At 43.9% G+C, this 25,171-nt stretch overlaps 1 protein-coding gene across 6 annotated transcripts in view; it reads right to left on the minus strand.

The window, feature by feature from the left end:
• Nucleotides 1-10,088: 10,088 nt before the first annotated feature.
• CFAP20DC (CFAP20 domain containing) overlaps nucleotides 10,089-25,171 on the minus strand; it is a 333,853-nt gene continuing 318,770 nt past the window's right edge. For 2 of the 6 annotated variants that reach the window (XR_007095646.1, XR_001740053.3), the window contains one exon: nucleotides 22,632-23,926. The gene's annotated coding sequence lies outside the window, so the exon portion shown is untranslated. Of the gene's footprint in view, nucleotides 11,545-17,258; nucleotides 22,054-22,631; nucleotides 23,927-25,171 lie in introns of those variants that run through there. The other 4 variants (XR_001740051.3, XR_007095648.1, XR_001740054.3 and 1 more) reach the window with 4 other exon arrangements.

Raw genomic sequence — 25,171 nt, forward strand, 5'->3', positions numbered from 1 at the left:
TTTTTTTGAGATGGAGTTTTGCTCTTTTGCCCAGGCTGGAGTGCAGTGGTGCGATCTCAGCTCACTGCAACCTCCACCCACCAGGTTTAAGTGATTCTCCTGCCTCAGCCTCCCGAGTACCTGGGATTATAGGCATCTGCCAGCATGTGCAGCTAATTTTTGTATTTTTGGTAGAGACAGGGTTTTGCCATGTTGGCCAGGCTGGTCTCAAACTCCTGGCCTCAGGTGATCCACCTGCCTCGGCCTCCCAAAGTGCTAGGATTACAGGCATGAGCCACCATGCCTGGCCCAGTAAGTGGTTTTTAATGAGGGTGATTTTGCCCCCTTTGGGTACATTTGGAATGTCTGGAGACATTTTTGATGATCATGCCTGGGAGGTGGATAGTGTTACCGGCATCTAGTGAGCAGAGGCCAGGGATGCTGCTATATATCCTAGTATAGGTACAAGCCCACTGCCACTCCCTAATGAAGAATTATCTAGCTCAAAATGTCAAAGGCACTTGAACCAGAGTGACTCCATCTTGAATAGGGACTCAGTAAAATGAGGCTGAGACCTGCTGGGCTGTATCCTCAGGAGGTTATGCATTTGTAGTCACAGGATGATAGGAGGTCACAAGATACAGGTCACAAAGATTCCACTGATAAAACAGGATGCAATAAAGAAGTCTGCCAAAATTTGCTAAAACCAAGATGGCAGCAAAAGTGATCTCTAGTCATTCTCACTGCTCATTATATGCTAATTATAATGCATTAACATGCTAAAAGACACTCCTACCAGCACCATGACAGTTTACAAATGCCACAGCAACATCCAGAAGTTACCCTATATGGCCTAAAAGGAAGAGGAACCCTTCATTCTGGGAAATCCCTGCCCCTTTCCTGGAAAACTCATGAATAATCCACTACTTATTTAGCATATAATCAAGAAATAACCATAAAATTAGCCAACCAGAAGCCCTCAGGGCTTTTCTGTCGATGGAGTAGTCATTCTTTTATTCTTTTGCTTTCTTAATAAACTTTCTTTCACTCTAGTCTGTGGACTTGCCCCAAATTCTTTCTTGTGTGAGATCCAAAACCCCTTTCTTGGGGTCTGGATCAGGTCCCCTTTCTGGTAACAAAAATGTCAATAGTGCTAAGGTTGAGAAACCCTAATTAAGGTAATTAAATAATAGATAAAAAAGACATTCCTTTCAATCCTACCTTCCAAAAAATGCACACACACTCTCTCTTTCCTTCTCTTTCTCTTTCTAAGATCACTTTGTAAGCTGAGAGAATTATGACAGAGACTGGAGCGACAGCATTTTATTTCACTGTATCTCTGTCCTTTAACACCTCAGTGCTCCCAGCCCCAGGCCTCTTGTGTCCCAGCATAAAATCTGTGAGATTTAAACATATACTATGAGATGCCTTATAAAACATACAGAATATGATCTGACAAGGTCCTTTGACAATGCCCTCTTTCGCACAAAATCTTCAGGCAGTAATTCAATTTCGAGGCTTTTCTCCTATTGAAATACGGTGTGTGACACTACCCAGGCCCTGGACTGCAGCACAATCTTCAGCACTGGGCATTTTTTTTCCTGGGTAATGGATTTTATTTCACCAAAAATAAGCATTAAAAGGCTTCCAAGGGGACACCATTGTGCTTACTGATTTTTTTTTTTCTTTGGAAAATGTGAGATGTTGCTGCATAATGACAATAATCATTAACTTTAGGTTTATTCTGGGGTTAATGAATTATTATAGTGCAGTGAAAAATTATTCTCCAATAAATGTTGAATTCCATTTTTTCTGAAACTTCTCTCTCTTTTTTTTATATGTTTGGTATTTTTGTCTTTTCCATTAAAGATGTGCAGATTTCAGATGAATAGAATTTGTCTGTGTTTTCTTTACCTGCTTCTGACTCTTAAAAAAATCCCATGTTAATTATTAAGCTGCATTGGGGAAAATAAATGATATTCAGTAGCTCTCCTATTCCTTAATAAGAGATTCTTGGTGAACTTAGTGGAAACGTATTTTTTAAAGCTAATAAGCTTTAAAAATTGGCCATTTCCACAAAATTTTCAAGTTCAACCTGATGGATTATAAGGCTTCTATCACCAATGTCAATCCTTCTTATATGGATTATTTATGACAATGGCAGGAAATAGATCTGTTGAGCTGATGGAACTGTTTCAGAAGGGCATTCAACACTAGCCAGATCCCTCTATTACACTGAAGCAGTCTCTGGGTGTGGGTCAAAGTTGTCAAAATGAGTTTGAGGACATGCACAGCTTTACTCATGGCTTCCCCCTCACCCACTTCCTGCCCCTGCTCTCCTGTCTGAGTTGTTATCATTGAATGCTTCTGCTGAAGAGTCAGGGGCCCGAAAATCAACTCCCAGGATAATACAACCAACACTCGTTCAACTATTGTTTACTTAGCACCTACTATGGGTCACATCCAGTGTGTAGAAATAGGGACACAGGAGTACAATATGAACCCTGGCCCCAAGGAGGTCACCACCTGTGTTCTCAGAATCTGTACAGCTCTAACCTTTAGCCCTAGGGTGCTGAGACAACACAAAGGACTGCATTGCCAGATCAGACTTGCAAGAATCAGATTTCATCTAGTATCAAACTGTACTGGCAATTTTAAGCGTATTAGTAATTGTGAGGCACAGGCCAAAGCACAGAGAGGGCCCAGTGAAGATCCCCAGATTCTCTCTTGCCACATTAGAATGCCCTCTCCTCCATTAACAAGTGAAATCTAAGCAATGGCAGTGGGAGAAACACACAAAAGAGGGCTCTTTTTGAGAAGTGAAGCTGGCTGGGCTTCTGGGTCAGGTGCGGACTTGGAGAACTTTTCTAACTAGCTAAAGGATTGTAAATGCATGAATCAGCACTCTGTGTCTAGCTAAAGGTTTGTAAACGCACCAATCAGAGCTCTGTGTCTAGCTAATTGGGTGGGGACTTGGAGAACTTTTCTGTCTAGCTAAAGGATTGTAAATGCACCAATCAGTGCTCTGTGTCTAGCTAAAGGTTTGTAAATGCACCAATCAGAACTCTGTAAAAATGGACCAGTCAGCCTCTGTAAAACGGACCAATCAGCACTCTGTAAAATGGACCAATCAGCAGGATGTGGGTGGGGCCAAATAAGGGAATAAAAGCAGGCCACCCCAGCCAGCAGAAGCAACCTGCTTGGGTCCCCTTCCATGCTGTGAAGCTTTGTTCTTTTGCTTTTTGCAATAAATCTTGTTGCTGCTCACTCGTTGGGTCTGCACTACCTTTATGAGCTGTAACACTCACAGTGAAGGTCTGCAGCTTCATTCCTGAAGCCAGTGAGACCATAAACCCACTGGGTGGAATGAACAACTCCTGACATGCCACCTTTAAGAGCTGTAACACTCACTGCGAAGGTCTGCAGCTTCACTCCTGAAATCAGCAAGACCACGCACCCACCAGAAGGAAGAAACTCTGGACACATCTGAACATCTGAAGGAACAAACTCCTGGTACACCATCTTTAAGAACTGTAACACTCACCCTGAGGGTCCGCAGCTTCATTCTTGAAGTCAGCAAGACCAAGAACCCACTGGAAGGAACCAATTCCGGACACATTTTGATCATGAGGCATCTCCATTTGATATTTCAAAAATTACAAAGGTTATATGACATTTTCCAGGAAGACATGCCCCAAAAATCCATGGATCCCACATTTGTTTGCCATGAGTAACTCAGACACTCAGGTATACCTTGCCAAAATCATTCCATGGGTAAGAACTCTCCCCTAGTAAATACCGTCAGTGTGTTTTCCAGAAGGTCTGTCATTATTAGCATGTTTAGAAGAAAATCTGATCAAGTACTTCCCTTTCTTTCCCAAAGCATTCCTTGTAGAGGGAAAGAATGGATTGCAGGCCTACTGCTGGCTCTGTCCTCCCCAGGTGCCATGATTGACTAGCAATGTCTGCCATAGCTGGTTGTGGAGGGGGTTGGAGGGTAGGAGAGCAAGTGTGTGCCTCCAAGCAACCCTGACCAGGCTTTGAGAGAGCAGTGAGTTGCTGAAGGTAACTCGCTTTGAGGCCTTGAGAGAGCAGTGAGTTGCTAAAGGTGATACCAGGGTGTGGTTAGAGAAAAGACTCAAACTCAGGACCCTAAACTCTAGGACTTTTCATTGATATTCTTACATATCATAATGATAACTAGAACAGACTCTGCAGTGAAAAAACCAGATATCCTTGACTTCTCACTAGCTATGATGTTGCCAAGTTCTTAGCCTTTAGATATTCAGAAGGGGAAAGGATATTATCAGTCCCTGTTTTTCCAGGACCTACTCTGAGCCAGATGCTAGACTAAGTGCTTCATACCTAGTATCTGATTTAATACTCCCTGCAACTCTATGGAGTGGGTCCTGTTGTTATTCTCATTTTACAGATGAGGAAACTGAGGCTGAGAGAGGTTAAGTGACTTACCCAAGGTCACATATCTTACGTGTGCAGAGGGGATAGTAAAGGCCACACTGTTTACCAGGGTGTCTCAGTCATGCATTTGGCTAGATTAGAGGGGCTGCCTTTCCAAAAGTGGCTTCATCAAGGGTACCAGCCATCATCTCTACCCCATCTCCTTTCTTACAGTAAACAGCATGCATTTTTGAGTGGTTACTGTTCATTTCCTGTCCTGTGGATGGTGAAGCGCTGTCGTAAGCATGGAGCAAGGTTTTTCAAACAAATTGAAGGGAAAAAATTTGAGGCGAAAGGAAGGTGTTGTGAATGGATTTTACCATCAAGACACTGTGTTGAAGCAACATTCATGCCGCTCTGCTAGCAAAGATTCCTGTTTGCAGGATGGCAGTGGAAATGCATGGTGCCATTATTTAGTGAGATCACGTGGTGAGGAAAGCAGCATGGCAAAAATGAAACAAGCCCTGGCCTCCAACCCTGTCAGGACACCTGTGACCCTGGCTAGTGCTTTTACATGTCCCCTTTCTCCTCCCTAGGCCTCTGTTCCTCTACCTGTTGGAAAAGAGGGCCTTTGAGCAAGCCAGCTCACTCCTGTTAGCTGCCACCTGCTCTGCAGCTCAGCATTTCCTCTATTGGTCCTCTGATACTATCTACAGCATTTTGGGAAAGGAGACAGATGTCTTCTAAATATTATGAGAAGTGCTCTTTATCTTTTTGGAGTCTTGAACCCATTTGGGAATCTAATGAAAACTACAGATCCTTTTCCCAGCAAAATCCACACATCCCCAAGCATTTGGCTCATATCTTTAAGAGATTCCTAGAACCTTCTCTCAATGCCCATGGATCTCAAGTTAAGAACCTCTGGTGTTGAGTGACAGTATACTTGAAGTTTGGAGATAGAAGCACGACAAATTGGGAAGGCAATGCATGGATAAAATATGAACAGTTTCCTGACCACAAGAATGTTCATTGTTTTGAGTTCCCAAGTTTTAGGGTAATTTGTTATATAGCAATAGGTAACTAATACACTCATAATCTAACAACTTCCATTTGCAAAATACCATGTTAAAGCCCAGGAAGCATCACTGCACACCTCCTGAGAATAATACTCAGTAGATTCAGTGCTCTTAAGAAGCATGAAAGCATCTGCTACCCTTACTCGAGGCTAGGGGTAGCAGATGACCTTAAGTCTTACAGGAATCCCATGCCACCCAGCCATAGCCAACGCTAGGCCTCCCACGGGTGTCCGAAATCTGGCTTTTCCTTCTCAGGTTCTGGCTTTGTTCTATGGCCAAACAAAATAGGAAAAGAAAGTTGACTGACTTTCATCGCTAGGAATGATGAAATGGTCATCAATTCATCTCCCTGGGGCAGATGTTCTATTGCCACTGAGAAGGGGTGACCTGTGCTCACCCTGTGGATGTGACATATTATTTCTGTCGGCTCCCTGGTGGGCCTGTGGGAGTCATGCCACAGGAGCTTGAGAGGCTGCGGTCTGGACAAATGGCTCTGGGCAAGCTGGCAGCTGTGACGAAGGGCAGGTCGTGCAAATGTTGGGCATGCCAAGCTGGATAACCATCAGAGTGCAAATCATCCCAGCAGGAAGACATAACATCAGCCACCATAAAGCATGTGGCCTGGAAACTGCCAGGGAGGCTTGAATGAGAGAGGCGTGCCTGAGGATGATAGCACAGGTAGGGGAAAGCCTCCGTTAATTTCCAGACGTTTCGAGTCCTAGGGGACCACACACTCACAAGGAGGAAGCCATTTTCTACCTTATTGGTTGGATACTGTCCTGTGAATGGCAGAAAGGCCTAGCCCAAGGGAAGATTGTGAAGGAGGAAAGACACCACGGACCACCTTCCTCTAGTATCTTCCAGGGGTATCTGAAATTTCAACAGAGGACTCTTAGAGTTAGGAAAAAGGTCAAGGTCAAAGAGAAATGAGCTACAAAGGTTGTTCTCTGCGTTGTTCTCTGTTCATCAGTGTCTCTGCCCTTGGTTCCAGAAATTACCCTTCCCTGAGTGTTTTCAGTGTTTCAGGTGGGAAAAATGGGAGGATCAGTTAGAAATTCTGTTGTGCAGCATTAAAGAAAACCTGATCACAGTGCTCAGTGCAATGCAACAAAGGCTCTGAACCACTATTTTTGTGCCGTGACCTCGTTTGGCAGTCTGCAAAGCCCGGGGACTCCTTCTCAGAGAACGTTTATATATGCATAAAATAAAGTACACCTGATGAAGAAGGAAACCAATCACAGTAAAACCATTTTCACAATATTTTTAAGACCAAACTTGAGATATAGTAGTATATGTGCTTTTTAATTAATGCGTTAGTAACCAGGTCAAGAAGTGTGTCTAATAACCTACCACTGGCACTTCAAAATAGTGACAACTAACTGTAGGTGATAAATAGAGATATTGGCAACAACTGTAATGTTAGGAAAACATCTGTGATTTCTATTAACAAAGTGTATTAGATTAGTCAGGGCTCGCCACAGGAACAAAATCTATCTATCTATCTATCTATCTATCTATCTATCTATCTATCTATCTATCATCTATCTATCTATCTTTATTAAGATGCAATCATGGGAGCCAAGAAATCCCACGATCTGCTATCTGCAAGCTGAAGAACCAGGGGAACTGGTGGTGTGATTTGGTCTGAGACTGAGGGCCTGAGAAAGTGGGGGGCCACTGCGGTCCAAAGGCCCAAGAACCTGGACTTGTGATGACCGTGAGATTTGGAGAACATGGGGATATTCCAGTTCCAGAAAAGAGAGCAATTTGGCCCTTCCTCTGCCATTTTTTTCTATCCGGGACCTCAATGGATTGGATGCTGCCTGCCACACTGGTGAGAGTGGAATTTTTTTACTAACACCGTCACAGACACACCCAGAAATAATGTGTTACCAGCTACCTGGGTATCTCTTAACCAAGTCAAGTTGACCTATAACATTAACCATTGCAAGTTCACCCCTTGTCAAGTTGGCACCCATATGCATCTGCTTAAGCCATACGTAATCTCCAAATAACCAGGTCATAATTCTTCCTGACATGATACAACTATCCTGTGTACAACCGAAAACACACTAATTCCTTCTTGGAAGAGTGATGTTTACTCTTCTAATGCTATCCCATAACTTAAATATATGATGTACAACTAATAATGCTTAAATGCTGGTAACAAAGTCAATACATCTTATTTTACATGATAGGGGAATAAGAGAAGAAAGAAAAATGAGATATATGTTTAATATACATATATGTACACACAAAAATATTAATAAAAAAGGAGGATACACTCATGACAATTACAGTCTTTGTTTCTGTAACCAGTCATGTGGTCATAGCTGGTCACGTGGTTGTACCTTCTTCTACTACCTGTTCTGTATGCCCTTTGCCCTCAGCAAACGCCTCATCTGGTCATGGTTCTTTACCTGGGGTGGGGTGACCCAATCCTTCATTCCTGAAGTGTATGGGCCATTTGTAGTCCTGTCTGGATTGGGTTCTTGTAGTTTTCCATTGACCTTAATCCCAGGGTATGGTAATACTGAGATACTCTAAGGGTTCTCTTGTATTCCAGACATACTCTTCCTTACCCTCATGTGAAGTGGTAGCCCAAGTTCCCCTAGGTAGTCTGGATTAGCCACTCCAGCCAACACTATAACTCCCTTCTCCGCCTGTTGACTCAGAGGCAAGAGAAGCCCTAAGTGGCTGGGTGTTAGTCTTAACTTTCAGTTCAATGGAATCATTGTTGTGTCTCCTACTGGAAGCATTCCTCCTCTGGAACTAAGACCTTTAAACCAGCAGGGCACAAAGTCAAGGGAATAGGAAGCAAAAATTTTGCTAGTGGGCAACTAGAGGTAGTGGTGAGTGGTGTTACTTCCATTTCCATTCCTTGATTCCTGGACCTATGAATTCTGACTATGGAAGAAACAGCACCATATATTGGATGCTGATTCAGAGCATATATGGCCTTCTGGAGAACGCTGCCCCAGCTCTGTGAGGTGTTACCACCTAGCTCGTGTTGTAACTGAGTCTTTGAAAGGTCATGCCACTATTCTGTCAAGTCAGCTGCTTCAAGATGGTAAGAAATAAGGTAAGACCAGTGAACTCCACGAGCACGGGTCCATTGCTGCACTTCTTTGGCTGTGAAGTGAGTTTCTGGGTCAGAAGCAATGCCATGGAATACCACGATGGTGGATACGGCATTCCATGAATCCACGGATTGTAGTTTTGGCTGAAACATTGTGTGTAGGGAAGGCAAATTCATACCCAGAGTAAGTATGTATTCCAGTTAGGACAAAACACTGCAACTTCCATGGTGGAAGTGGTCTAATGTAATCAACCTGCCTCCAGGTAGCTGGCTGATCTGCCGGGGGAATGCTGAGCCATGTCAGGGGATCAGTGTTGGTCTCTGATTATGGCAGACTGGGCACTCAGCAGTGGCCATAGCCAGGTTGGCCTTGGTGAGCAAAAGTCCATGCTGCTGAGCCCATGCATAACCTCCATCCCTGTTACCATGGCCACTTTGTTCATGAGCCCATTGGGTGATGACGGGGGTGGCTGGGGGAAGAGGCTGAGTGGTATCCACAGAATGGTTCATCCTAGTCACTTGGGCATCAAAATCCTCCTCTGCTAAAGTCACCCTTTGATGAGAATTCATGTGGGACACAAATATCTTCATGTCCTGTGCCTATTCAGAGAGAAACATCCACATACCCCTTCCCCTACATTTACTTGTCATCAAACATGTTCTTTGGAAGTCCCTGACCATTCAGCCAAACCATTGACTACAGCCCAGGAAACTGGTATATAATGGCATGTCTGGCCATTTCTCCTTCTAAGAAAAGTGCACAACCAGGTGTACTGCCAGAAGTATTGCCCACTGGGAGGATTTCCCTTCACCGCTGTGCTTTAGAGGGATGTCCCAGAGAGGAACTGTCGTGCTACAGTTGTCCACTTTCAGGTGGCACCAGCCTTTATATTGTGCAGCACCATCTATAAACTAGGCCTGAGTTGTCAACTAATTAGGGGGATCTCTCCATGACACCATAGGTGCAGGCTGGGAGAGAGAAGGCAGTGTAGCGGGAGTGGGGACCACGGACATTTGGGCCACTTCTTCATGTAACTTATTTGTGCCTTTAGGTTCTGCTTAAACTGGATCATGAATACACCACTTTCATTTGGTGATGGAGTGCTGCTGTGCATGCCCAACTTCATGGCTTGGTAGGTCAGTGATATGGTTTGGCTGTGTCCCTACCCAAATCTTGTCTTCAATTGTGGTTCCCATAATCCCCATGTGTCATGGGAGAGACCTGGGGTGGGAAGTGATTGGGTCATGGGTGAGGTTTCCCCCATGCTGTCCTCATGATAGTGAGTGAGTTCTCATGAGATCTGACGGTTTTATAAGCATCTGGCATTTCCCCTCCTGGCACTTCTCCCTTGTGCTGCCTTGTGAAGAAAGTGCCTGCTTCCTCTTTGCCTTCCACCATGATTGTAAGTTTCCTGAGGTCTCCCCAGCAATGCAGAACTGTGAGTCAATTTATTCAATAAATTACCCAGTCTTGGGCAGTTCTTTACAGCAGCATGAGAATGGACTAATGCAGTCAGATAATTTTTTTTTTTTTTTTTTTTTTTTTTTTTTTTTTTGAGACGGAGTCTCGCTCTGTCGCCCAGGCGGGACTGCGGACTGCAGTGGCGCAATCTCGGCTCACTGCAAGCTCCGCTTCCCGGGTTCACGCCATTCTCCTGCCTCAGCCTCCCGAGTAGCTGGGACTACAGGCGCCCGCCACCACGCCCGGCTAATTTTTTTTGTATTTTTAGTAGAGACGGGGTTTCACCTTGTTAGCCAGGATGGTCTCGATCTCCTGACCTCATGATCCACCCGCCTCGGCCTCCCAAAGTGCTGGGATTACAGGCATGAGCCACCGCGCCCGGCCTGCAGTCAGATAATTTTTAACACCCAGGTCATGACAGGCAGCTCAGATCGCATGGTAACATGGTGGCCTGTTCAAGTATTCAGTTTCTATTAAGGCCCAGTAGCAGGCCAAAAGTGGTCTCTCACATGGAGAGCATCTGTAAATTATGGCAGGCCTTGCTCCAAAACCCTAAAGGCCTGCACTGCGATTCTCCTATGGGGGTCTGCTAAAGGTTCCAAGCAGCATCCCTATCTGCCACTGACATTTCAGGTACCATTGGGTCTGCTGGATCCTATGGCTCAGGTGGCAGAGAAGCTTGCACAGCAACTCCCTACTGGGGATCCTCCTCCTGTTCTGGGCCTCACTCAAAGCTAGCAGCTTTTCAGGTCACTCAGGAAAAGGGCCAGAGTAACATACCCAAACGAGGCATATGTCTCCTCCAAAATCCAAATAGGCCCACTAGGCATTGTGCCTCTTTCTTGGTTGTAGGAGTGGCCAGATGAAACAACTTACCTTTTGCTTTAGACCTTCTAAAGTACCCTACACCACTGGACCCCTAGAAATTTAACTAAGATGAAAGGCCCCTGAATTTTAGTCAGCTATTCCCCCATCCTCTGACATGCAAATGCCTTATCAATCAGTCAAGAGTAGTTGCTACTTGTGGCTCACTAGATACAATCAGTGTAATGTCATCAATGTAATGAAGCAGTGTGACATCTTGTGGAAGGAAAAGGTGATCAAGATGCCTGCAAACTAAATTATAACAGGGCTGGAGGGTTGATATATTCCTGAGGGTAGGACGATGAAGGTGTATTGCTGGCTTGCCAATTGAGAGCAAACCATCACACAAAACCAAAAGCATTGCTGATACTACCCTGGTCTGCCGTCCACACTCACAAAGCAGGGGAATGCTGAATCTCAGGGCTTTGTGAAAATGAAAATGTAATCTCTTTCCGCTCAAGTTCATGAAACTCTGAATTGTGTCCAAGGATGCTTTGGGATCTGTAGACAAAAGATGCTTATTCTTCTCATGTGAAATGTGTTCTGGAAACTGTAGTTCAGGATGAGTATAGATGCTCAAGGAAGAAGTGAGGACCCACACTTCCAGGTTCTTGTCCTGATATCTTTAGAGTGTGAGTTTTGCCTTCACAGTTGCAAAATGGCTGTAGCACTTCCAGACATTTCTTCTGCATTTCAGGTAGGAGAAGAGAGAAGAAAAAAAAAAAAGAAAAAAGGTACATGCCTTTTATTCTGGGTCTGTCCATTGTTATCAGGAAAACAATGCTTTTTCTGGAAGTCTCATCCTGAATACTTTGGCTGGCAACTTATTAGCTAGAACTGGTGACTTGATCATCTCCAGCTGGATGAGACTCTGGGGAGGGCGTATTCTAACTGGGTATACTGCAGCCCAAACCAGAGTTGCATTAGGAAGATGAAGGGAAGGAGAAAATTGGGTAAACTAACCAATGATGCCAGTCATGACTGATGTAGGGCTTCTTAATAAGTTCTCTTCTCAAAAGCTTATGATTTTTACCATTCCCATTTGGATAAGCTATGGAGAAATTCAAGTTTGGCTTCATTCATTCAGTTTATCCATTCATACTTTGATCCACTACTTATTGGAGGCCAATTTTGTGCCTGGCCTGGTTAGGTATGGGGTCACATCATGTTGAACAAAACAGCCAGGTTCCTTGGGTCCTACAGTTTAAGGGAAGCAGGGATAAAAATGTGGTAGGATTATAAAAATCACTCACACTGCACCCAGATGGCAAGGAAAATGCCACTTCTTTTATTTCCTCTAACTGATGGATCTCAGGCTCTTCTGGTTTCAATGGTCTCATTTCAGTTTAAGTATCCAGTTTATTCAAAATTCATTTGCTTCTGACAAGATTGCTAATTGGCTCCCAGCTAATTCCTTCTCACCCCAGAGCATGTGGAAATGCAGGATTCCTCCATGTGACCCTGCAACAGTGGGAGGCTTAGAAAAGCTAAGACTCCAGGCCTCCCCTTCCCCTGGGCCTTCCAGTCTGTATCCTCTGTCCACTCTGGGGCACCTGGTATATCAGAATTAGGGCAGATCCACCTGAGAGCCAATTCCACCCAGAGCCATGAATATGAGGTTGACAAGCCCCTTGTCCTGCGGGCACTGCCAATCTGCCTAAGGCACCTCTTCATTCTGGAGCTTTGGCCCAAAGAGGGAAGCCTCACCTCAGCCTCTCCATCTGTTTCCTTTGTTTCTCCTCAATTGCCTGAACCTGAAGAGGTGGGTACCCCATTTCTTTCTGCCATATCCCCAGTTCTCCCTAACCTGGCATTGTGGAAATATCCTGGTCCAATTGGCCTGCTCTTGGTATGCTAAGGAAAATCTTGTTAGTTATATACTGATCTCTTCTCCCTGCAAGCCAGAAGGCTAATTAATCTGGGGAGGGAGGGCTAGAACATGAAGTTCTGATTGGTTTTAGCATTCTTAGTAAGATGATAGTAAGGAAAGCCACAATTTTTGAAAAAATGCTGCTTTTGGCCAGGTGTGGTGGCTCATGCTTGTAATGCCAGCACTTTGGGAGGCCAAGGAAGGAGGATCACTTGGGCCTAGGAGTTTGAGACCAGAGTGGGCAACGTAGGGGAAACCTCGTCTCTACAAAAAAATAAAAAATTAGCCAGGTATGGTGGCACACGCCTGTAGTCTCAGCTACTTGGGAGGCTGAGTAGGAGGATTGCTTAAGCTGGGGAGGTAGAGACTGCAATGAGCCATGATTGTGCCACTGTACTCCAGCCTGGATGACAGAGTGAGACCCTGTCTCAACAAAAGAAAAATGCTGTTTTGGTGACTGTTTCCCTGATGCAAGCTTACTTTGCCATGGGCCCCTTTATACTGAGTGAGTAGCGTTCTAGTTAATCGAGGTCTTACTACATACACTGTCAACTTCGTGTGGGCAAGGGTGGAATGTAATTTGCACACCAGCTTCAGTGACTACCTGTCATGTAGTAGATGCTTTGTAATAGCATGTATGTGAATGAATGAATAAAATGCATAGACTTGTGTTAGCAAACGGTTTACTTTGCAGGCATGGAAGATCCTGTGTTCTACCCAGATTTTTCAGCTACAATTTTTTTAAGTGTCCTTTTGGGAAATAGCACTATTTGATAAGACAGAGTCTCACCTGGTTGGGGCTGGGCTTGATGAACTTGTTTTTACCCACCTCTTGAAATGTCATTATAATTCTGGTTTGTCCGCCTGTGTCTCCCAAGAAAAGGGGAAACAGTGGTTTGGCTTCTCTCTTCCCAAAGAGCCAGCTCAGGCTTCCCTGTGTTACTACTTTTGGGTAAGAGGCTGAAAGCACAGAGGTGAGGTTAAGACCATGGGCTTAGGAGTCAGACAGAACTGACTGGAGTCCACATTCCAGTAGACAGACCACTTGGCACTCTGCCCATGCAAACCACTCTGGCTTTCCCCTGTCCTCGGACAAGCCAAACACAGTCCATCTCCAGGCCTTCGTACTGGCTGTTATCTCTTCCTGGAAACCTCTTCCCTGAGCTGCCAATCTGGTTAAATGTCTCCTTGGAGGGGCTTTTTCTGACCATGCCATCTCAGGTAGAGGCCACCTTCCCTGTCTTGCCATCTCAGGTCAAGGCCACCCTCCCTGTGAGTTCCTCTCTAAACTGCTCCCTGCTTCAAGCTCTTCAAGCAAATTTCATCTTGTGCTGTTGTCCACGTGTTTATTGGATTCCCCACTAGAATGTAAGTACTGTGAGGACAGGGCCTTTGGCTGTCTTGTTCACTGCTCAGAGCAAGGCCTGGCAGAAAGCAGACACACAAAGCCTGATTGTTGAAATGAATGTAGAAATGAATAAAGTTGTTTAAGTTCTCTGAGCCTCAGTTTCCTCATCTCTCAAGTGGCTATAAACATACCATAGAGAGTTGTCAAGATTGAGATATGTATGGAAGTGATGGCCTTGATACAGGTTCTTGATATAACATGGTGACTCTGAGGACCTTCTTGACCATCTAATACTCCCTGGGCTCTAAGGGTCAGTAGATACCTCCAGAGGCTTATTAACTGCTCTGACTTTTAGTCTGCTGGGTGGAACAGGCGGAAGAAATATCCTTGCCAACAATTAAATTGTTTAAAGGATAGTGCTGCCAGTCGCACATTATTGTTATTTCAAAGCTGGTGCTTTGAGGAATTTGGAAACAATCTTCTTGGAGGCATTCCCATGGCTAGGCATTACAGCTCGGACTATAATCTCACTATAAATGTGCCTTTCCTCTTTAAGCAGAGGGTTATTAAGTTTAACAGTGTCAAAGTACTCTCCATATTACATACAACTTAATTAGTGTACAAGGCAATATTAAACAGCCCATTCACACTGAGAAATATTTATACTTCTCTTTCCTTGGCTTATATTGATTTATCCCATGACACACAGAAATGTAAATTACAAAGGAGTAATTATTTGTTCCTATAACAAAGGAAGAGATTGAGACTTGTGTGTCCACATGCTTGCTTGGGATGCGGCACTTGGGGAGGGTGGCGGGAGAGGAGAAGCACTTGGTGGAAATCTCATTTCCTCAAGAAAACCTCCTCAGACTCCAAGGCTAGGTTAGGTTCCTCATTTTTCTCTCCCAGAGCTTTTCTTTCAACACATACCTCCAGAGGGTTTATCTGTTTATCCTCTGTCTCCCCATCCACATGTGAATTCCAAGATGCTGGGAGTGGGATTGTCCCAGTCACTACTGTATTCCCACATCTAACACAGCGTCCGGTGGATAGGAGGTACTCAATCACTATATAAATATGTTCCAACACGTTTATTAAACACCTTATCTGGGCCAGGGATTGTGTACTTCTGGGTGCATGTGTTGGGGCAGGGGTTATCAATGGTCACCAAAATCAGAGTTAATGACCTCATGGAGTTTATAGTCAGAATGAAGAGATAGACATTTTTTAAAAATTACAACCATGATAGGGTACCTAGTGCTATGAATATTTATTCCAGGAGTCTGACCTAATGAAGAAGGTCAGGGAAGTTTTCCACAAAGAAGCGATATTTAAGCTGAGATCTGAAGGATACGGGGGCATTAATACATGCAACAGGGAAGGAAGGGAGCAAGTCGTAGCACCCAAGACCCCAGGGTAGGAGAGCCCAGGGGAAAGTAAAAGAACCCTAAAGAGCAGTGTGGCTGGGGAGAGAAGAGCCATGTGGTCCAGACAAATCTGGAGGGAGGGGGAGGACTGTATCCCACAGGACTTGGATGGCCACGATGCACAGCATCTAATTTGTGGATTGAATGGGAAGGGATTTTCCCAGAGATTTCTGCCCTGGGATCTCTATTCTTTTCTCAACACATTCCTTTCAGAGAACCAGGGCAGGAATCCAAAGTGGAGACCACCAGGCTCTGGTCATGTTGGGGTTGATTTTATTTTCCTAAGATTGTGGCAACACGAACTCCCATCCCACAGGCCCTTCTGTGATGTGACCTGGCCACAGCTCCCTTGAGCCTGGGCTGGCCTGAACTGTAACCAAGAGGATGTGGTGGAAGAGAAGCTGTGTGACTTCTGGGACTAGTTCAGAAAAGGTCATGAGCTTTGTTTTCTTTTTACCTAGCTCACTTGGAACATTTGCTTTCTGGATGCTCCTCTTGGGAGCCAGCTGCCATTCTGGGAGAGAGTCAAGCCATGTGGAGAGGCCACATGTAGACCCTCTGGTCAATGGTCCCAGCTAAAGCCCAGCCTCCGGGTCATCCCAGCCCAGGCACCAGGCATGTGAGAAGCCTCCCAGTGATTCCAGCCACCAAGTGTTCAGTCACCCCCACCCCTTTGAGCCTTTCCAGCTGAGGTCCCAGATATCATGAAGCTGAGTTAAGCTGTCCACGGAACCCATGCGTGTACTACTATGGTAGTGGTCTTATATCACTCAAGTTTGGGGTGGTTTGTTGTGCAGTGAGAGGTAACTGGGACGCATGTTAAAGGAGCCATGATAGGCAATTTTGCCCAGAGCAGCAGGGTGGCAACTGAGTCGGTTACAATCATCTGAACTATCATCAGATTGGAACTCAGAGGTTCTGTTTAAAGGACTCTAATTCTCTCTCGTGATGGAGTAGAAACCTGAGAGATGCCACCTTCAACTCAAAAGCCCAGCTCTCCCCTTCGACGCAGGGTCAAGGCAAGACAGGGAATAAACAGGTCACTCCCACAGTTCTCGTTTGCCTTTTCCCAGATGTGAAAGTTACACACTGACTGTGATTTTCTGCCCGAGTCCTTATTTAATTGTTATTTTGGGATCAGTTGCTTTTGAAAGATCCCCCAGCTGATACAGACTGCTGGTATCCTGCCAAGAGAGATAAACAGTCTCATCTTGCACTGCATTTGGATTCAGTGTCAGCAGAATATAGCAGCTGCCTCCCAGCAGAACTGTCTGTGGTGGAAATACCTGGGTGGTCTGATTCAAATTCACCTTTCAAATCTTTACCTTGTCAATTTTGGTAACATGCAGCTGCCACATTCATGAGCACATGATCAGGTTTCTCAAACAGTCGAAATCCCTGACAACCATGCTGGTGAGCAACCTATCCTGATCACCCGAAATACTAGTGATTATTCTTTTCAACTAAAATATGTAAACAAAACCTGATGCTAAGCAAATGTTCACTTTTGTGCTCTTTAAAAAATGTTATGAATTAAATTGAAATTACTCAGCACAATAATAAATACTTACCAAGTGTTATTTTGCACTTCAGGTGGTAAAACTGTAACTGTGAATAAATTGCTTATAGTAAGATTTTTTCCCCTTGAATGCTGTAGCAGCAGATGGGCTAATAAATATGCAACACTTTGTAACATTTGCAATTTCAGAGGGGTAGAGGTTCCTCCACCTTTCACATAAACAAAACGTATAGTCATCCAATATTATACTTTTTAATGGAAAAGCTTAAGTCATGTAATGTAAATACCACTTCACTTTCAACAATTTTACTAGTTGCGCAACAGTAAGATGAAAGAACACATAAGATGGTATTTATATTCTCTCTTTACAAGAACATTTTCTTCCTTTCTTGGGAACTTTTCTGAGTTTGAAAACAAGAAGGATTCTTGTACCTTCATTGGAAACGAAGGTGGGGAGCATCAATAAGCAGCAATTTATTATATGATTCTCTTTGCTTCTGGATGAATGTGAGTGGTGGTTAGGAGCAGATTGTGGTGACAGGCAGGTCTCTGCTCCTCATTAGCTTGATGACCTTTGGCAGATCCCATTCTCTTTCTGGTACCAAGTTTTTGCCTTTGTCAGGTGGGGTGTAAGTAGTAACCTTCCCCTTAGGGCTAGTAAGAGGATTAAATAATGCAAGTAATGCCTGGCATGTGGCATATTCAATGACCACTGTTTTCATTATATTTAAGGTGACTGAGTGAGTGGCATAGGGTTTAATAAAAAATGTTTTTTTATGGGAAAGGACAACCATGGTTAAATATATGCCCGTGAATTCTGACAGAAGAGGTAGGTGCCTTAGGCGCACATTTTTTGTTGTTCTAGCCTGTCTCACGTGGATAGAGGACAAACATTCATTCGCTGGTCTCTGTTCTTGGGGAAGTAACATAGATACAAATCCTTCATTCCAGGATGCTGAGGTTTAATCCCTTTGAAAGGAGGGTGCTCCATGCTGTGGAGGGGCCTGGGGAATTCTCAAGTTGGTTTGTGGGGGTCAAGCAGGTTCTTCCTTTTCCCTGCTGGGGCTGGCTGGAGGATGGGAGGCCTCTAACACCACAAAGGTGGTGAAGGCAAACTGGAAAATCACCATGGGGAAGAGACGTGCAAGGTGACTAAAATCTTGGGAGCAGCAGTGTTGGGAAAAGGGCTTGTGGGGTGCCTGTATAAACTGGCCATAAAAATATGGGACAATAAGTTGTGGAAAGCCACAAGAGGTCTCTGAGGAGGAAAGCCTCCTAATAGCCCTCATGTTCCCATGCTTAGAGCGAGACCCTCTCTCTTATCTGTAAACACTGTGTTCAAGGAGAAAGGCACTCCTTTGAAGCACTGGAATGTGGACAGACGTGTGGGCTCCTATTTAAGCCCGCTCCCACTAGCTACTCTCCGATAAGTTAAAGATATGCTGTTTGAGCACAAAGGAGATTCGTTTAAATCACTCTTGCTACAGATTACGCCTATGACGCACTGCCACCCTTTCACTGTTTCGCCCGGAACATCTGCTTCTTAGATCTAAGTGATTGTACTGAATATATAGCATGGAGACCAGAGCTCGGCGCCTTTTGCAGCCTCCATTTTGCAACTGGCCCCCTGGCTCCCACCTTTATGAACTCTTAACCTGTCTCTTCTCAATCCTTTGTCGCCACCGGACTTCGGGTACCCTACGGGTGGGTGGTGTTGAGGCTGGTCCCCAACACAGCAGCAGTTGGGATCTGGAAGTCAGCCCCAGGAAGCAGCCAACAAACAGATTAGTGGAGCATTGCCAGGGGAGTCCCAGAAAGAGCTGAGCAACACTTTGATGGAGGTAGGGGAGCAGAGGTTCTGCTATTATTACTTTGGAGGGGACCACCGAACCAGTAAACATTTGGGTTATGTTGATATTAATGACAATTATGGCAATAATAGCTTGGTATGTAGCAGTATTCTTCGAAGTCCCAATAATTGCCTTCAAGAATTATCACTTCAAGTTTGAAACAAAGTTATCTATATTTTTATCAGACACAAAGACAGACTTTTCTTTCTACCATGTCCTTTATGTGCAAGGAAGGCAGATCAGTGAAAGTTCCTTAGCTGTTTTGAGAGTCATTAACTTCCTCTCAGCTTCTGTGAGCTGTCATCAGTGGAGAGCTCTGGCCACAGCCCATACTATCCTGGTGTCCTTGGGAAGTAAAGAAGGTAAGGAGTGATCTGAAGTGGAGCTCTTTGGACTGTTTCTGGGTTGCCGGTTGTTGTGGCTATGGTTTGGTTTTTCCCAGCACCCTTTCCCCCTGCTTCTGCTGGCAATGGATCATGTCCCACCTCCTCGCTATCACAGTGACTAGTCACTGGGTCAGTAACAGTCTGACTGTAACCAACACGACGGGTGGTTCAATCACCTGACAGGTGTCAGTCGCATGACCACAATCAAGGAGGATTTAGCAAGGGGATTTTATTACTTGCAAGAAGTAAGGACACCCACGACAGTTCCCCAAAGCAGTGCCTCCACAAACAAAGGTGAAACAGGGCTTTTTTTGAGCTGGTTGGCTGAGTCATTGTGTGTGGAGGTGGAGTAAAGGCAACACACACAGGTGCAGTCACCCATCGTGCTTCTTCATACATTGCATGTGTAGAAAATGGCAAATAAACTCCTCTCTGGACTGGATTTTTAGTATGGTAATGAGGAGAGTTCACCAAAGTTCATCTCCAACTCAGGCATCTCTGGATCCATCTGGTTTTTATTTTTTTGGGGCTGAGCTTCTTTCTGGAGCTTTTTGGAACAAGAAGAACTCAAGGTGCAACAGTTACAAGTGAGTTCTTTTCCATCGCGTGCACCCTAAAGCCTGCGACCCTGAGTTAAAAGAGTAGCACATCCCCTTGGCCAAAACAAATGGATTGCTTTGTGATTCAAGCTAAGCTGGGAAAGAGAAGTCTTCTTTCATCTTGGGCCACTGTCTGGGAATGATGGAAGCTTAGCACTGCCTGTTAGAGGAGGCCTAGTTCATAAGACTAGGGGCTCAGGATTGGATCTGACCATTTCAATACCATTTTAGCCCCAGGATTCACTAGGTAAGGCATACGACATATTCAGAGAAAGAACTATATAGGGTAAATCATTGGAGTTTCTTCATAGATGGGATTTTTTGCTCCAATGGTGTATCAGTGATAAGTAGGTAATGCAGAAGCATACGACCCTCAAATCTAAGCTGAATACAATGAAAGTTTGTTTCTTGTCCACACAGCATGCTGTCATGGGCTGGCAGGGGCACTCTACTTATCATAGGCTCTCAAGGATCCAGTCTGGCAGAATGATAAAGTCTTTAAGCCAGAAGGAATAAAGTGTTCTGCAGGACCTCTCACTGGAAAGTAAGAAACACACTCAGCAGGAAAGCAACCCATCCCTTCCACTCACACCATCAGAATAGATGAAAGTGACCCATCTCTTCCACTCACACCATCAGAATAAATGAAAGTGACCCATCCCTTCCACTCACACCATCAGAAGAGATGAGAATGACCTATTACTTCCACTCACACCATCAGAAGAGATGAGAAGGACCCATCACTTGCACTCACACCATCAGAAGAGATGAGAAGGACCCATCACTTCCCTTCACACCATCAGAAGAGATGAGAACAACCCAATACTTCCACTGACACCATCAGAAGAGACAAGAATGACCCATCACTTCCACTCACGCCATCAGAAGAGATGAGAAGGACCCATCACTTCCACTCACACCATCAGAAGAGACAAGAATGACCCATTACTTCCACTCGCGCCATCAGAAGAGATGAGAGCGACCCATCCCTTCCACTCACGCCATCAGAAGAGATGAGAGCGACCCATCCCTTCCACTCACACCATCAGAACAGATGAGAATGACCCATCACTTCCACTCACACCATCAGAAAAGATGAGAAGGACCCATCACTTCCACTCACACCATTAGAAGAGATGACTTGGCTCCACCTCCCATAGGGGGCCAGGAAGTGCTATCCTACAGTGTTCTCATTCTGTTGCTCCTCAGTCCATTTGGTTCTTTCTTCTGCAAATTTTCCTTTACCTTTCCTTGCCCACATCTAAAGTGAGCATTGAAGAATATGTCCTCCTTGGGGGCAGAACAGCTTTCTCAGCCTGCCTCCTGCCTGGGGAAAGGGGGAGGGCCCAGGGTAGCTTTAAATTTTGAACAGTTGTAAATATTTCTAGTTCAGGCTCCTGATTTCTCTGGCTATACAACTCTCTCAAAAACTTAATTGGCTTCTTATCTATTTAATTCTGATCAGCTTCATGTGCCCACAGTTACACTCAGTTCTTTTCTTTTCTTTTTTTTTGAGACGGAGTTTCGCTGTGTTGCCCAGGCTGGAGTGCAGTGGCGCAATCTCGGCTCACTGGAAGCTCCGCCTCCTGGGTTCACGCCATTCTCCTGCCTCAGCCTCCCGAGTAGCTGCGACTACAGGCGCACGCCACCATGCCAAGCTAATTTTTGTATTTTTTCAGTAGAGACGGGGTTTCACCATGTTGGTCAGGCTGGTCTCAAACTCCGGACCTCAGGTGATCCACCCGCCTCGGCCTCCCAAAGTGCTGAGATTACAAGCGTGAGCCACCGCGCCCAGCCCACTCAGTTCTTTTCAAGACGTGCGTTGCTCTCTCTTGACTTCAATCTATTGGGCTTGATAGAAAAGTTGTGTTTTCATCTTTTTCCCAGGGCCACTTTGTTTTCCCCGTTCTGGGATGCAGGCTGATGGAGAAGCCAGCATCTTGAACATTACAGTTGCTATGTAGAGTGGAAAAAAATCAAGTGGCAAAGTATGCCAGTTCTTAAATCTGTCACCTGGAAGTGCATCACTTCTGCTCACATTTTATTGGCTAAAGAAGCAGGTCATGTAGTCAAACTTCATTTCAAGTGGGCCACAGGGTGCAGGTGGCAGAATGCAGTTAGAGTGCATAGAAAGCTGCAATCTTTGTGGACAGAATGAGCGACCATAGCATGGTATTGCATTTTGGTGAGCATGTGCTGCATAAACAGAAAGTAGAAAGTGAGATTAAACTGTAAAGACCACTGATTATTCTGGTAAGTGGGCTAAGTCTATAGTAACATGTTATTATAATTAAATAACGTAATAATGTAATGGGACTGCCTTGAAAGTTTTGCATAGGAAAATACCTTTGGCTGTCCCATTGGGGAGGAAATTGGAAGAAGATTCACGTCCTCATATTAGAGAAATAGCTGGCTAAATGAATAGATTCCTGAAAGTTGGTTGTTCCATGGGATTTATGCCAAAGACTAAAGAATTTTGATGTTTGTGTTATTCAGACCTTTACGTGATTTGTAAAAACTTCACATGGCTGCAAGAGAAGATATTCTTTCAGATATTATTTGGGTTAATGAGGAAATTGGACATGGCCTTAGGATGAAATGGAAGGCAGGCACAGATTGGGTCAGTTGATTATTCTGTGCTGAGCTAGCACAGAATTAAGTCAGTAACTTAAAAACATAAATGAATGAATGTCAGAGTTCCATTCATTTTAGGCTGATTGTGGAGGAAATCATATGCCAGAGCTTTGGTAAATGCATGAACTCTACACACCGTATTGGAGAGAACTGACATTTTAATAATATTGATTCTTCTCATCTATGAACATGGAACATCCTTTCAATTACTAGGTCTTTGTTGTAGCCTCTTTCCAAGACATCTCTCAACAGCCCTAGCCTCCTGAAATTTACACCCTGTGTAAATTTGGTGCAGTCTCTACCGCATTGACTCAGAGCTGGTCTGTGTGACCAATCAAGTATGGATGATGATGATGTGTGACTGCTGGGGCTAGGTCATAAAAGGCATTGCAGCTCCCTTTGTGGCTTCTTGGATCATTTCTCTGAAGGAAGCCAACCACAATGTTTCATAGTCACTCAGTCATATGGAGAGGCCCATATCCCAGCTCAAGTAAAACCTTCAGATGGCTGCAGTCTGGACCAAAAAATCTTGACTGCAACCTCATGAGAGACCCCAAGCCAGAACCACTCAGTTAGAGCACTCCTGAATTTCTGACCTGTTTATTCTTATTTTAAGCAACTAAGTTTTAGGGTAATGTGTTATGCAGCAATAGACAACTAATATAATATTTTAATTCGTATCAATAAATGTTTCATAATTTTGTGCACAGAAAACTTGTACTTTTAAAATTAATTAGATTTTTATTAGATTTATTTCTAGGTATTTGATGTTCTTTGATGCATCTATAAATTGTATACTTTAAATTTTATTAATATTTTGTGTCTTGTATACAGTAAAACAATTGATTTTTATATAATGACTTTTATCCAACAACATTAACGAATTCTTATAACTTTTATTAATTTATGTGTAGATAAAAGAGTTGTTTTAAGACACTAGATAAGTTTGTTAATTTTAGTAATTTATCTGTAGATTTTCTTGGGTTTTCTATGAATGCAATAATGTCATCTGCAAATAATGACAGTGTTGTGTCTTTCTAATTCATATGGCTTTTATTTTTAATTCTGGCTTTATTTGTATTTATTTGTATAAGCTTTTTAGTTGTTCCCAATGCAAGGCCTGGTCTATACCAAATTAGTCTGCTATTATTGAAAGTTGAGGCTGGGATCGGTGGCTCATGCCTGTAATTCCTAGCACTTTGGGAGGCCGAGGAGGGTGAATTGCCTGAGGTCAGGAGTTCGAGACCAGCGTGACCAACACGGAGAAACCCTGTCTCTACTAAAAATACAAAATTAGCAGGGCATGATGGTGCGCACCTGTAATCCCAGCTACTTGGGAGGCTGAGGCAGGAGAATCACTTGAACCCAGGAGGCAGAGGTTGTGGTGAACTGAGATCACGCCATTGCATTCCAGCCTGGGCAATGAGAGCGAAACCTGTCTCCAAAAAAAAAAAAAAAAAAAAAGAAAGTTGAAATCCTCTGCAAGGTTTTCAGCAGGTGACACAATATGCTGTCATTTTGTCATTTTAAGGCTCACTCTGAATGCTGTGTTGAGGATTAAACAGAATAAATAAGCTTTTGAGATCTGTTGCATAGCATGATGTCTATAGCTAATGTAATGTATATTTCAAAATTGCTCAGAGTAGATTTTAAATGTTTTCACCACAAAAATTGGTAAGTACTGTATGGGAGATGATGAATATGTTAATTAACTTGATTAATCATTCCATCATGTATGCATATATCAAAACATCACATTGTACTTCGTAAATATGTAGAATTATTATCTGTCAATTAAAAGTTAAACAAGAAAATAGATTGCAGGCAGTGGTAGAAGCAGGCAGATGAGTTAGTAGGCTGTTCAATGAGACAATAAGAAATGATGGTGGTAGTGGTCCCAGGTGATAAAGGCCGGGGGGTGGAGGAGAAAAGGCATCGCATTCTGAATATACTGAGAGTAAAACCAGTAGGATCTCCTGACCATTTGAAAGTGGGACATGAGATAAGAGGAGGAATCAAAGCGTCTTTCCAAGTTTCCTATCTCAGCAATCAGATGCATTTGCCATCCGTTGAGGTAGGGGTGACTATGGCTGGAGAAAGACTATGAATGAAGCTGGTTTGGTGAATTTTGAATGTTTACATTTGAAAAATTATTTTAGCCTCCCCAAATGACAAACACATGTAACTGGGCTATTCATAAAATAACTACAGAATTTTTTTTTTTAAAGTAATTCATCATACACGGTAAGCAGTGTGGTTCAGTGATAACACAAATTGAAAGGTGAATGACAACCATTTTCTCTGCTAGGGGATGTTGGGTATCCCTGCGAGTGTGTGTCTAACTCTGCTTGGAGAAAACACGGATGCCTCTGTGGTCAAGAGGTCCAGCTCAAATGGCTCTTTTGCCTCTGCCATGACAGGCCCTAAGTACAGAGCTTATTTGTTTATTAAATGCAACAACAACAGAAAAGCCTTGTCATATCCTGTTCCGTAGATGAAAAAGCTAGAGGCTTTTCAGGAGAAAAAAATTACACTAATCTTAGCAAAGATAATTTTCTGAAACTTTCCTTTCGTGGATGTGGCTGTATCCCTTATCAGTTGTAGTCTTCACTGTGTATGCAGTAGGGGAAAGTGAAGGATGGAAAGAGGGTTAGGCTGACTCCCAAGATTCCAGAAAACA

This window comes from Homo sapiens, chromosome 3, assembly GCF_000001405.40.
Source record: "Homo sapiens chromosome 3, GRCh38.p14 Primary Assembly".
In the NCBI taxonomy this organism is placed as follows: Eukaryota; Metazoa; Chordata; class Mammalia; order Primates; family Hominidae; genus Homo; species Homo sapiens.